The following is a 13,400-nucleotide window of genomic DNA, read 5'->3' on the forward strand; positions in this document are numbered from 1 at the left end:
CTTCCAAAAATTGTTTTGACAGAAAGGTACCAATTACTTTCTCTTTTAATCAGACTAGTAGTTTAATAAAATTTAGATAGACATCGTTACCTATACTGTTGGTAATAAGGGCTATCTGGATGTTACTGCTTGTTGGATTATTAAAGGCTGGCATTTTGAACATAGGAAATGACCATCTGTGAGGGTCTTTATTAGGTCTCTGTGAAGTTAGTAAGTCCCCCAGGTATTCTCTGATTATCCTGTAATTTCCTGGTCTTAGCCTTTTCACATCTTATGATTACTTGTTTTGGTTTTTTTTTTTTTTTTTTTTTTTGAGGCAGAGTTTCGCTCTTGTCGCCCAGGCTGGAGCGCAATGGCACGATCTCGGCTCACTGCAACCTCTACCTCCCGGGTTCATGAGATTCTCCTCCCTCAGTCTCCTGAGTAGCTTGGATTACAGGCACCTGCCATCACGCCTGGCTAATTTTTGTGTTTCTTAGTAGAGATGGGGTTTCACCATGTTGCCAGGCTGGTCTCGACCTCTTGACCTCAGGTGATCCACCTGCCTTGGCCTCCCAAAGTGCTGTGATTACAGGCGTGAACCACTGTGCCCAGCCTGATTACTTGCTTAATTATTTAGCCTCTCACCCTCAAGACTAAAGTTCTGTGAGAACATGAAGTGTACTTATCTTGTTCACCATTAAAAAATTAAATGAGGCCAAGCGTGTTGGCTCACGTCTATAATCCCAGCACTTTGGGAGGCTGAACGGGGGTGGACTGCTTGAGCCCAGGAGTTCAAGAGCAGCCTGGGCAACATGGCCAAACCCCATCTCTACAGAAAATACAAAAATTAGCCAGGCATGGTGCCTTGGGTTTGTGGTCCCAGCTACGCAAGAGGCTGAGATGGGAGGATCACTTGAGCCCAGGAGGTCGAGGCTGCAGTGAGCCGTGATTGTACCATGGTACCCCAATCTGGGAGACAGAGTGAGACCCTGTCCCCTGCCACCAAAAAGTTAAATGATTAATTAAGTACTTACCATAATACTCAGCCTTGTTTTAAGCTCTTTTTATAGATTAAGCTCATTTCATCTTTATAGCAAACCTTTGAGATAGAGTATTAGCTTCCTATTGCTGCTGTAACAAATTATCATAGATCTATTGGCTTAAAACAGCACATATTTATTATCTATCTTCCAGTTCTGGAGGCCAGAAGATCGGTTTTGGTCTCACTGGGCTAGATTCATGATGTCAGCAAGGCGGCATTCTTTTCCTGTGGCTCCAGGAGGAATCTGTTTCCTTATTTGGGTTGTTGGCATAATTCAGTTCCCTGTAGGGAAGGCCTATCAGCTGCTGGCCATTCCTAGCTTCTAGAGGCCACTCACATTTCTTGGCTGGAGCTTCCTTTCTTCTACCTTCAAAGCCAACAGGGTTGGTCAAGTCTCTCTCATGCTTTGAATTCCTTCTCCACCCTCTCTCTCCTCTTTCCTTTTCCTCCTTCTTCTTGTATTATCCCTGATTACAGATGGCAAAGTATCTTTCTTTTTAAAGACTCACGTGATTAGATTGTGCTCCCCAGGTAGTCCAGCATTATCTCCGCATCTCAAGGTCTGGAACCTGAATCACATCTGAATCACATCTGCAAAGTGCCATTTCCCACTAAGGTCACATATTGACAGGTGCCGGGCTTTAGGGGGTGGCTGTGTTTGGGGAGCCATTATCCTGCTTTCCATAGGTAGTTACTACCATTCTCTTCCTCTTACAGATGAGGCAGCTGAGGTGCAGAGAGATTAACTAATGTTTTCAAGGTCACACAGTTAGCAGGGGGCGTCTGGGATCCCACTGCGGGCAGTGCTAGAATTCTTATGCCCTCTGCCGTGTGGGCTCCATGGTCTATCAGGACCTGAGCCAGGCATGTATAGGCAACTCAGCACTCACCCAGGGAGGGATGAATTTATGCTGGTCTTTTCTCTTCTTTGTCTTTTTTTTTGAGCGAGGGTCTTACTCTGTTGCCCAGGCTGGAGTGCTCTGGTGTGACCATAGTTCACTGTAGCCTTGACCTCCCTGGGCTCAGGTGATGCCTCCTGCCTCAGCCTCCTGAGTAGCTGGGACCACAGGCATGTGCCACCATACCAAGCTAATTTTTGTATTTTTAGTAGAGATGGGGTGTCACAATGTTGCCCGGGCTGGTCTTGAACTCCTGGGCCCAAGCAATTGGCCTACCCTGGTCTCCTAAAATGCCGAGAGTACAGGCATGAACCATTGTGCCCGGCCTAGTCTCTTTTCTTAGAACAGAAGTGATTGATATTCAAGGATATTAAAAAAATTGGCATGTGTGAATTTCTAAAACTTTTAAAGGATAAAACAATTTGTGTCCCACGTAGATGAATTGCTTTTTAACTTTGCAATTTTTCTTGATTTGGGAAGCTCCCTTGCTATAAACTCGGCTGTTTCACTTCTACTCATCTTGTGCTCCTTAACCCCAGTGAGAGTTCTCTGTCAAATATGAGGCCCAAAAAATCAGCTACGGAGCCTCTCCTTTGTCATCAAAGAACTCATTCCGATTCAAAATAAATTTTAACGTGTAAATAAATCTACTTGAAAATCTTGCAAAATGCTAATAACGCAAACCATTTCTGGTTGGCTACTTTGTGCCGTATTTAGAAATATTCTGAGCCAGTTTTCACCACACTGTAATTATTGCCTCAAAAGACTTTAGTGGGTGGCACTGATGCTCTTCATCTTTGTACAATGTACTCCACTGTACCAGGCCCTGTTCCCACACGTGTCCTGCAGCGATCTGTGGTCTACACGTTGTGATCTCTGCTTTTCTCCCGCTGGGTGTAGTTAATCTCGGCTCTTTAAACTCAAAATACGGAGTTGTCTGCAGGAAGTCTCTGCTTTGTGCCTGGTAGACGAAGAGGAGCACAGATCATCCCCCAGGGGCATCTGTCTATCTGTCTGGCTTTGTCAGGCATTCTGCACAACTCCCAAGTTCCAGGGTTCTGCACATTTGCATTATAAGATTTTCAAGTAGATTTTTTTTTGGGTGTTAACATTAATTCTAAATATGAATGAGTCCCAGGAGAACAATTAAACCCATTTATGCCTAGTGTTCCATTATTGGAACACTAAGTATGTAGGAATTATTTATATCCTACTGCTCAATGTCATTGCCAAGGTCTGATTTTTCACACACGTCTGCAATTCAAAAAATTGCAACCTCCAGCATAAATGGGTTAAAGTAGAGTGTTTTTGCAGCTAATGCTTTTTAAGCCTCTGTATTTGAAAGAGGCTTACTTAGGAAGTTGAACTTGGCTGGGTCTGTCACAACTGTCGCCTGAATACTGGTTTTTGTGCTGGACCCTGCACACTGCTGCAGGACTCGCAGCAGGAACCTACAAATCATGGTCCCTGCCCTCCCGGAGCTTTTGGCTTTGAAGAGGACAGCCACTGAACATGTGGTTCTTACACCCGTGGCAGGTGTGGTTCAACTCCTACTTTAGGGAGTTCAAGTCCAAGGACACATCCGCTCTGTCTGATAAAACACTTCTGATGGGACACAGAATGACACAAGCAGAGGGACCTGGGGAGGCTTCCGCTGGGGAGCATCTTAGCTGTGCAGACTCAGGGATAGCAATGTCATGGGATGTCTGATATATAGATCCCCTTTGCCTGTGCAGGCTTGAAACAAAGGTTTTGTTGTTTTCAGCACATCTCACCAGGATTCCCAAAGTGCCTGTCATCCATCCTGTGCACCTTGTTTGACATCTTCCAGTTAGAAAAATATCATCTTCTTGCAGCACTATTCACAATAGCAAAGATATGGAATCAACCTAGATGCCCATCAGTGGTAGACAGGATGGATAAAGACAGTGTGGTACAGATACACCATGGAATACTATGCAGCCATAAAAAAGAATGAGATCATGTCTTTTGCAGGAACATGGATAGAGCTGGAGGCCATTATCCTTAGCAGACTAACACAGGAACAGAAAACCAAACACTGCAATGTTCTCACTTATAAATGGGAGCTAAATGATGAGAACCAATGGACACACAGGGAGGAACAACAGATACTGGGGCCTACTTGAGAATGGAGAGTGGGAGGAGGGGGAGGATCAGAAAAAATAACTATTGGGTACTAGACTTTGTACCCGGGTGATGAAACAATCTGTGCAAAACCCCCCCCATGACATGAGTTTACCTGTATAACAAACCTGCACACGCACCCTAAACCTAAAATAAAAGTTAAAAAAAGAAAAAATATCATGTTCAGTGGATTCTATGTTTTAATGTCACTTTTATTTTGGAAGCTAATTGCTATTGGTCTTGGGATGCCATGGTAGATGGTCCATAAAACTCTGTTGATTGGTACGGCTTCTGTAACGTGTGTCTTTCCTTGGACGCAGTAAATGGGCATCCTGTCCTCGACACAGAGATCTGCAGAGCTCTTAACTGTCCTTGAGTTCTAAGCTATATTTTGGATAGATGTCTGGTATGCCGAGCAGAAGTCTTAATGTTGTGATTCAAATGAAAACCAGAAAGACGGGAGGACCTGCAAACAACCCTGGTTTTCAGTCTTTCTGATCAGTCTCCTTCCTGTTTTCTTTTCCAGTGATCATAGACAGGCCATGGGAGGCTTTAGCTTCTTTGCCCCCGGCTTACTGTGTTCACAGCCTGTGCAGCTCATGATTTGGGGGTCTCCATCAGTTACCATGGTCTCTGCTCTCTAGATTGGTTCAAAGTGTCTGGCACAGAATGGAACTGCTTTCTAAGCAGATGGTACCCATGAATTCATACTGGGACAGGTCTTTTCTCAGGCTCATTCAGGCTCAGCCCAAGGACTCTTTATTTACAGGAAAGGGATCACAGTGTATCATGTCTGAAGAAATGCACACACGTGCATGCACACTCACACACACACACACACACAGAGTACACATTGCATTTAAATTTGCCAGTGCAAATTTGTACTCCTTGTAATGAAATTATTAAACACTTCAATATAAAATTCATCTTTTTTCTCCCTCCTCTCAGTAGAAGGTGTTAGTTGTAGAAGACAAGTTGGACATTATTGATAAGGCCTGGTGAAGAGGAAAGAGCTTGTTCAACAGTCTGAAGGAGGTGGGCTGGGGCTTCTCATGGCCAGGCCCAGGAGACAGGTTGTAATGCTAAACAGGTTGCAATGCAGTTGCTAATTGACAGCCATTAGGTTGGGTGACATGACAGAGGGAGGTGACATGTCCATGACTCTTGAGGACAGGGCCAAGAGTCATAGGACTGTTTGAGGGTGAAATGAAGTGGCATGTGAAATGCTGGCAAGAGTACCCTCTAAGGGAAATCTGTGTGCCATACTTAGGTGGAAATAGCCACCTCTGCAGGATTGTAAAATAACACTTTGATATTTTTGTGTTTCCCTTGCAGTACCACGTCCTGTCTGAACATCCTCTTCTTCTCAAAAGGTCATCATGACCTTATTGTCTGGGACATATTTGGCCTTGCTCTGTTTTGTTCTTTCGTTACTTTTCATACTGTGCTTTCCAAAACACATCAGTCATCTTCTCTTCACTGGTTGCATGGATGCTGGAGTCTGTGTGGCCTGTGGCAGACAACCCTGTCCATCCCCCCACTTCCTGGCTAGCAGAACTCTGATTTTGTTAGGGATAGCAGAGTACCTGGCTAAAAGCTTGATTTCCTAGGGTCTTTTGGAGTTAAGGTGGCCAAAAAACTAAGTCCTGGCCAATGTTTTGTAAGCAGACATCTATGGGCGGGTCTTCTAGAAACGCTGTTGTTTTTCTGGTAAAGCGGCCGTGTTCTTTTCATCCCTCATGTTTCTCTCTTCTGGTTTGGAAAGCGGACTACACTTGCTGCCTTCCAAAAGGCAGAAGGAGCTTTGATCTTGAAGTCATTGCAGACTTGCTGTTCCATGGGAAGAACAGACCTCTACTGGGTTAAGCCATTGTGGTTGGCTGTGTTACATGCAGCCAAATATGATTATTGATACGTGAGGTGCTTCTCTGAACTCATACTGATATGAGCCAAGCAATTTAAACATGTTTAATGGGGCCTTTAAAATGGCATCCGGGCTGGGCACGGTGGCTCACGCCTGTAATCTCAGCACTTCAGGAGGCCGAAGGGGGTGGATCACTTGAGGTCAGGAGTTCAAGACCAACCTGGCCAACATGGTGAAACCCCATCTCTACTAAAAATATAAAAATTAGCTGGGTGTGTGCCTGTAGTCCCAGCTACTTGGAAGTCTGAGGCAGGAGGATCGCTTGAACCTAGGAAGTGGAGGTTGCCATGAGCTGAAATTGTACCACTGCACTCCAGCCTGGGTGACAGAGGGAGACTCCATCTCAAAAAAAAAAAAAAAAAAAAAGGCATTCAGGTCATATTCTCTTTCCTTTTGCCTGTTTCCTTTTGGAATGACCTACTCTGTTGATTGACTTGGGCCTCAGTTGGCCAAGACATGGGAGGCTATTCTCACACAGAAATTCTACCACTCTTGGTGATAGGGAAGCACTAACTGCAGGGTGTAAGACACCACTCTCCAGGCCAGGACTGCCCTACCCAGAGACAGACCAGCCTGGCAGGATGGAGCATGAGGTCGGGGCTCCAGCAGTCAGAACTTCATATGCCTGGTTCTGAACGACCCATCTAGATTCTCCTGGCCCCGGCTCCATCCTGCTGTGAACTCACCTCCTGCCTGGACTCTCAGCATCATTGCTTTCCCCATGCTCTGCCGTGCCCTGATGGATCCTTTGTTGTAAAGCTTTGGGCTGCGTGGAGTCAAGTGCCTTCTGAATTTAACTTTGCCCGGAGAGTAACTCTGCTGTCATCTGTGGGTGGTGCTTCTAAGGCGTATTTCAGCTTGGCATAGAAGCATCAGACATTTGAGAGGGTTTCATCAAAGGCTTTCTTTTATCAATGCTAACTTAGCTTGTTCTAGTGCAAGAAAAATCCATAGAGGGCTTGAGTTCACGCAGGTTAATTATGGATAGAGCCCTAGTTTTATGAATGGTCTTAAACATTGTCCTTCGTTCTTCTGCACTCATCTTTGCCACATTTCTTTCTTTTTTACATCATACGGCACTTCATGAGACTCTGTGGCTCTAAGCTTTCTTCCTTTATATCACTAGTCCTCTTAGAGGAGAATAAGAGAGGAGCAGAATGTAGTAGAAAGATTATGAGCTTTGGATTTCAGTAAAGCTGTATTAAAATCTCAGCTTAACTACTTACTAGTTATGTGATCTTGGTTACTTAATATCTATAAGCCTTAGTTTTCTCATTAGTAAAACAAGAATTTTAGTGAAGATTAAATAACATTATGTATTCGGTACTAATTGTGATCTTATTCTCTATAGCTACTCATGCCTTCTTCCCATATCTTGTTCTCTGGGGGCAAAAACTTTAAATCCTTTTTTTTTTTTTTTTAGAGAGAGAGTCTCACCCTGTTGCCCAGGCTGGAGTGCAGTGCCGCCATCTTGGCTCACTGCAACCTCTGCCTCCCAGGTTCAAGTGATTCTCCTGCCTCAGCCTCTCGAGCAGCTGGGATTATAGGCACCGGCCACCACGACTGGCCAATTTTTGTATTTTTTTAGTAGAAATGGAGTTTCCCCATGTTGGCCAGGCTGGTTTCAAACTCCTGACCTCAAGTGATCCACCCACCTCAGCCTCCCAAAGCGCTGAGATTATAGGCATGAGCCACCGCTCCCGGCTTCAATCCTTTTAACTGATTCTTTTGGTAATTATCTTGATATTTCTAAATAACATATTTTGCTACTTCTTGATTTTTGAATTTTAGGTAATATTCTTAAGCTTTCTAATATGGAAGATAAGGATGTTGCTCTTTTTCACACATGCCTCATCCTCCCTACACAGACACCCACATCCTGCCCTCCATCCTTCCACTACAGTTATTTATGATTTAGATAGCCCAATTCAATGTATACATCACTATAGTCATGTAAACACTTGGACAGCAGAGCCATGTAGTGTACTACTATTAGTTTTTTGTCCTGAATAGTTTTTTGCTTTCCCTGAAATTAGTCATTGCTTATTTTTTGAATGCACCTATTGCTATCATGCGGTCAAAAAAAATGGGGAAGTGATAAGTGCTACTAGTCATATTATTAGAAAGAAAGAGGCATGTCACTTCTTCAAGGGAAAAGATATTTTCTCATGGCATTAAATTCTCAAAGTAACTTTGGTTGTGGGACCTCATATAAATGATACAGTGGACTTAATTTGTTAGGAAATGCCAAAGCCAATTCCATATGGCTGTTTTCTGTAATGGTTTCAGAAAATAACCAAGGTAATAACATTTCAGTGCAACTTTGGAAAGATAACTTCACGAGGGACCGAGCTGCTCAGCCTAAAAATGCTTTGTGGGGAAGCTTGGTCCCAGAGTGGGACCTGGGCATCTGGTGGATTGGCTGGACAACCCATCCCCTGGACAGTCTTTCCTGAAGGCCAGCCTCTCCAAATAGCAAGACTGCACTCATTCATTCAACCAGGAGCTATTCAGTGAGGCAGCCAGGCACTGCCTAGGCTCCATAGATTCTATAGTAAAACAGATGTGGACTCAGCTCTCATGTAGTTCAGGGTCCTACGGGAAGACAGACACTGAAGCATGAAGAGCTGGTGTGACGGGTGCTCCAAAGGAAAAGTGCAGGAGGCCTGGGAGGGCGCCACACTTGACCCTAATCCCAAAAGCATTCTAACAAAGTCCCCCACATTTGTTGTTCTGCTGATACAGATCCTCAAACTGCTTTAAGACCTATCAATATCCCTAAGTCCCTTAATTTCCTTTCCCTTTAACTTTTTTGAAGGCTTTTCTTCTTTCTGCACTGACAGTCAAATAACTGCAGAATAAACACACAATATCTCAGAATCAGCCTTTCTCAGGTTGTAAAATCAAATTCCACCAAACCCAAAACATCCTGAGGAAAACAGTACACCAGGGATTATGTCAGACCTTCCTGGTCCTAGCTGTTCACACCAGGAAAGTGCCCTGAATTCATAGGCTTGTGACTGTCTGAGGAACAGATCACAAAAATCTAGAGATCACTGGTGAAACAGAAGAATGATGACTTTTCTATCTCTTTACATCTACTCCAAATCCACATTTATGTGAAAGCTCATTTGTGGCAGAAAGATCTTTCAAATCTATCCATACAAGGCAAGAATTTATACACTGCAAATACCCTCGTTGAAAGTAGCAGAATTATTTACTCCGATCAAGTGTTCTTCTATTCCTTGTCTTTAAAATGATATAACAGTTTCTTATTATGAGTCAGAGGGTTAGACTAGGTGAGAGATTTGAGTCCCCTTTGAGTTGTAAAATCTATGGTTATAGAATTTTTTTTTTGAGATTGAGTCTCGCTATGTAGCCCAGGCTGGAGTGCAGTGGCTATTCACAATCACAATTATAGTTCTCTGCAGTCTTGAACTCCCAGGCTTAAGCAACCCTCCTGCCTCAGCCTCCCAAGTAGAATATTTTATAAAGTCCTTTACCAAGTTATGCTTCATCTGTAAGCATTAATTGGTACCAAGTCTGTATTTCCTGGGCAAACTCCTTAATACCAATATGCCTATGAAATAATGTATGTTTGTGAAATTTTTCCTTTTTTTTGCTACCTATAGATGTTTATTCTAAAAGAATAACCAGACAATATTTTTTAGAAGTCATTCATTAATTAAATTGAATAAAGAATGAGCCCTTGGCAATTTTTTCAACTAGCTTTGGCAGTTCTCTACATTATTAAAATGTGACTTTGATTACTTGAAGTGCAGAGTTGCATTGCAGCAGTTATTATCTTCAAAAAAGAGAAGACTTTATTTTCTCCTGGTTTATATATATTTTTTGCCCACAGTGACTTTGAAAGTTCCCATTCACCAGAATTCAGAGAATCTGCCTCATTTGAAAATAATGGGAAGAGTAATCTAAAGAATATTTAAGGTAGTGAAATTGACAAATCTGTATTAAACCTGTAAAGATGGAAGAGTACCCCTCAACCCCATGAGAGAAAAGAGCCTGTAAAGCAGTAAAAAGACACATTGGAATCTATTGTAGGGCAGGGATGAAAACTAATTAAGAGCAAGATATGACTATCCACAGAAGGTTCTTTTGGTTTGCTAAGATAAACTGAGGCGCTGGCTTAGGAATTGGAAAGAAACGAGAAACAGATAGTTAATACCCATAGGACGAGATGCTCAACTTCACTAGTAACAAGGGAAGTGCAAATTAAAACCACAATGAGATACCCTTTTACACCCACCAGACTGCCAAAAATTCAAAAGTCTGACGGTGACAAGCATGGATGAGGTTGTGGAACAGCCAGAACACTTACTTACCTGATGATGGGGGTGTAAGTGGGTACCACCCCCTTGCTCTAGGGGAGCGATTTATGTAGCCCATAGTGTGAGCCCCCTGGAGTTCCCTGGCAGCTTTGTGACTTGTGTGTGTAACAGGAGACAAATAGTAATGTTGATTGATACAAGTTATGTGTGTACCCTCCTGACACACAAATGCTAGAAATACCTCAAATAGACATAACATGTAGATTGGGAAGAGAAAGTGGTATATTTATATCATAAAATACTATACAGCATTGAATGTGAATGACTCACAGGTACAGGCAACATTGTGGATGAACTTCAGGAACATTGTATGAGGCAGAAAAGCAAGTCTTAGAAAATTCATACAGCATGAGCCCATTCATACACAGTTGAGAAATGTAAAACTAAACAAAACTAAATGTAAAATGAAACAATATGTTTCTTAGTTTAAAAGTTAAATGAAAATTAAGTTAAATTGGCTTGTCAGAAATGCTAAATTTGGAGGCTGTAGCCCAGAGGTACTGAAATAGAATCTGCATTTTAATAAGACCCCTAGGTGATTTTTTATTTTATTTTATTTTATTTTATTTTTTTCTGAGACAGAGTCTCACTCTGTTGTCTAGGCTGGATGGAGGACAGGGGCACCATCTTGGCTCACTGCAATCTCAACCTCCTGGGCTCAAACTATTCTCCCACCTCAGCCTCCCTAGTAGCTGGGACTACAGGTGCAAGCCACCACACCCAGCTAATTTTTGCACTTTTTGTAGAGATGGGGTTTCACCAGGTTGCCCAGGCTGGTCTCCAACTCCTGGCCTCAAGTGATCCACCCACTTTGGCCTCCCAAAGTGTTGGGATTACAGGTGTGATCCAGTGCGCCCGGCCCTAGGTGATTCTTATGCACACTAAAGTTGATCTTTGCCAAATAGGAAAAAAAAAAAAAGTAAAATCTATGTTAAAATTTAGGTTAAAAGTTAAGTTACCAGGAGGCTGAGGCAGGGGAATCGCTTGAACCGGGAGGCGGAGGTTGCAGTGAGCTGAGATTGCACCACTGCTCTCCAGCCTGAGGACAGAGCGAGACTCGGTCTCAAAAAAAAAAAAAAAAAAAAATTAAGTTACAATTAAATCCATCATGTTGTTAAAATCATGAAGAGCAAGGGAAAAATAAACATAAAATTCAGGATGTGAGTTAATGGGGGGCAGGGATGGAGGACAAGAAGGGGACTTCAAAGACGATGATGAAGTGCACCTTCACCAGAACCTGCATGTGGTGCATGGTGTTCATCATATCATGAGTCTGTGCAACATACATACCAATATTCTTTTGTATCTACTTAAGTTTAATACACACAATTTTTAAAAAGGGGTTAGAGTGAGGGTTGGCCAATGTGGGAAGGCTGTGTGGGGGAAATAGGATCTGAGGCTGGCCAGGAAGGGTGGGGAAGTTTGGTGTTTGCGGAGCAGACACCGGCTCTCTCTGGCCAGAGAAGCCCTTTGTACAAGGCTGCCCATCCCAGTCCATAACTCCATTAACCCCCCCAAAACTAGCCTAGTGCCAGGGAGAAAGAGTTCCCTAGGTAGGTGGGCCTGTTTGGAGGGTGTGGGCAGGTGCCCTGGCTGCTTCCTGAGTGGCCTCAGGCCCTGTACTGGAGGTCAGCTCAGTCAGTGTCACCCAGGCCTGGGGATATTTGCTTCTATTTAGCTCCCAGTAGGTTCCCAGTTTACTGTGGGAGTGTAGTTGCTTGACGCATACAAGCAGATGTTGAGCTAGAGCCTAGGCTGCCAAGGAGCTGGTTTAGTTCAGACCACTAATTGTATAGAGGTTAAGTGACTTGCCTGCTGGAGATAGGCAGAGCCAGGTTGGTGCGACTCCAGCATTTGGTTCCTTTCATCTGTTCCACGTTGTGCAGCCTACAGAGAGATTCAAGCTTGACGGAATTTCATGATTATAATTTACCCCAAAAAAGCTGTTTATAAAAAATGCATGTGATCATTTGTAAAAAATTTAGAAAATACAGATGATTAGAAACAAGAAAAAAAAATTGCGTATAATTCTTGCTTTTATTTTATTTTTAAACATTTAATTAATTAATTAATTATTATTATTATTTTGAGATAGAGTCTTGCTCTGTCATCCAGGCTGGAGTACAGTGGCACCATCTTGGCTCACTGCAACCTTGGCATCTCGGGTTCAAGCGATTCTCCTGCATCAGCCTCCCAAGTAGCTGGGATTATAGGCACCTGCCACCATGACCAGCTAATTTTTGTATTTTTAGTAGGGACAGGGTTTCGCCCTGTTGGCCGGGCTGGTCTTGATCTCCTGACCTGAAGTGATCCACCCGTCTCGGCCTCCCAAAGTGCTGGGATTACCGCATGAACCACCGCACCTCGCCTAATTCTTGTTTTAAAATACCCACTGTTAACATTTTAGTGTATTTCCTCCCAGTCTTTTTTCTATGCATTTAAGAAAATTACAATTAGATTAGGTGTTAAAGATGTGAATGATACCGCTTTCTCTCTTTATATATACTTTTCTCTGCTTTCTACTATTGTTTCGTACTTTCTGTCATTTGAATATGCCATATTAAATATGTTGAAATTATCTTTGCTAAGGAGTCAACATTAGCAAGAATAAAGTGGGAAATGTTCATTTATTCCTGAAGAGTTTAGCAAAGATCATATATTCGAGTCATTAATTCTTGCTTCTTAACTGCTTGAAAATCAACCCGCGTATAGGAGCCCTTCATCAGTCAACACTCTCATGGCACTTATTTCTGGTAGGGGCCGGGAAACAGATGGGAAAGACAACTTCCTAGGAGCTCTGGTCTTGGAGCGAGGGAGGTTCATGAAAATTATACCTATGTTCAATTGTGGCCAATAAAATAAAGAAAATCAAGTGTGAATGGTTTCCTTGATCAGGGCTTGCTTCTGAAGGGCAGAGCTGATAACGTCCTCACTTTGAGCAAAAGCCACAAAGTAGTTATCTTTCCTTACGCCTTTAGTTTTTGTTTAAAGGTTCATTACGAACTTTAGCAGTGAAAAAAAGTGTGGCAACTGGGTCATTCTGACCTAGAAGCAACCAA

The 13,400-nt window shown here is 42.9% G+C and overlaps 1 protein-coding gene across 9 annotated transcripts in view, besides 1 other annotated feature; it reads left to right on the forward strand.

Annotated features, from left to right (window-relative positions):
- The window catches only part of GREB1 (growth regulating estrogen receptor binding 1), a 159,901-nt gene that overhangs the window by 36,272 nt on the left and 110,229 nt on the right, over window positions 1-13,400 (forward strand). The gene's annotated exons all lie outside the window — the stretch shown is intronic.
- Window positions 1,376-1,877: an enhancer, noted in NCBI's record as "H3K27ac hESC enhancer chr2:11660661-11661162 (GRCh37/hg19 assembly coordinates)". NCBI's record gives its function as "activates a minimal SCP1, AML or CMV promoter by ChIP-STARR-seq in primed H9 embryonic stem cells {active_cell/tissue: H9 hESC(primed)}" and the evidence as "EXISTENCE:reporter gene assay evidence [ECO:0000049][PMID:30033119]".

This window comes from Homo sapiens, chromosome 2 (assembly GCF_000001405.40).
Source record: "Homo sapiens chromosome 2, GRCh38.p14 Primary Assembly".
In the NCBI taxonomy this organism is placed as follows: Eukaryota; Metazoa; Chordata; class Mammalia; order Primates; family Hominidae; genus Homo; species Homo sapiens.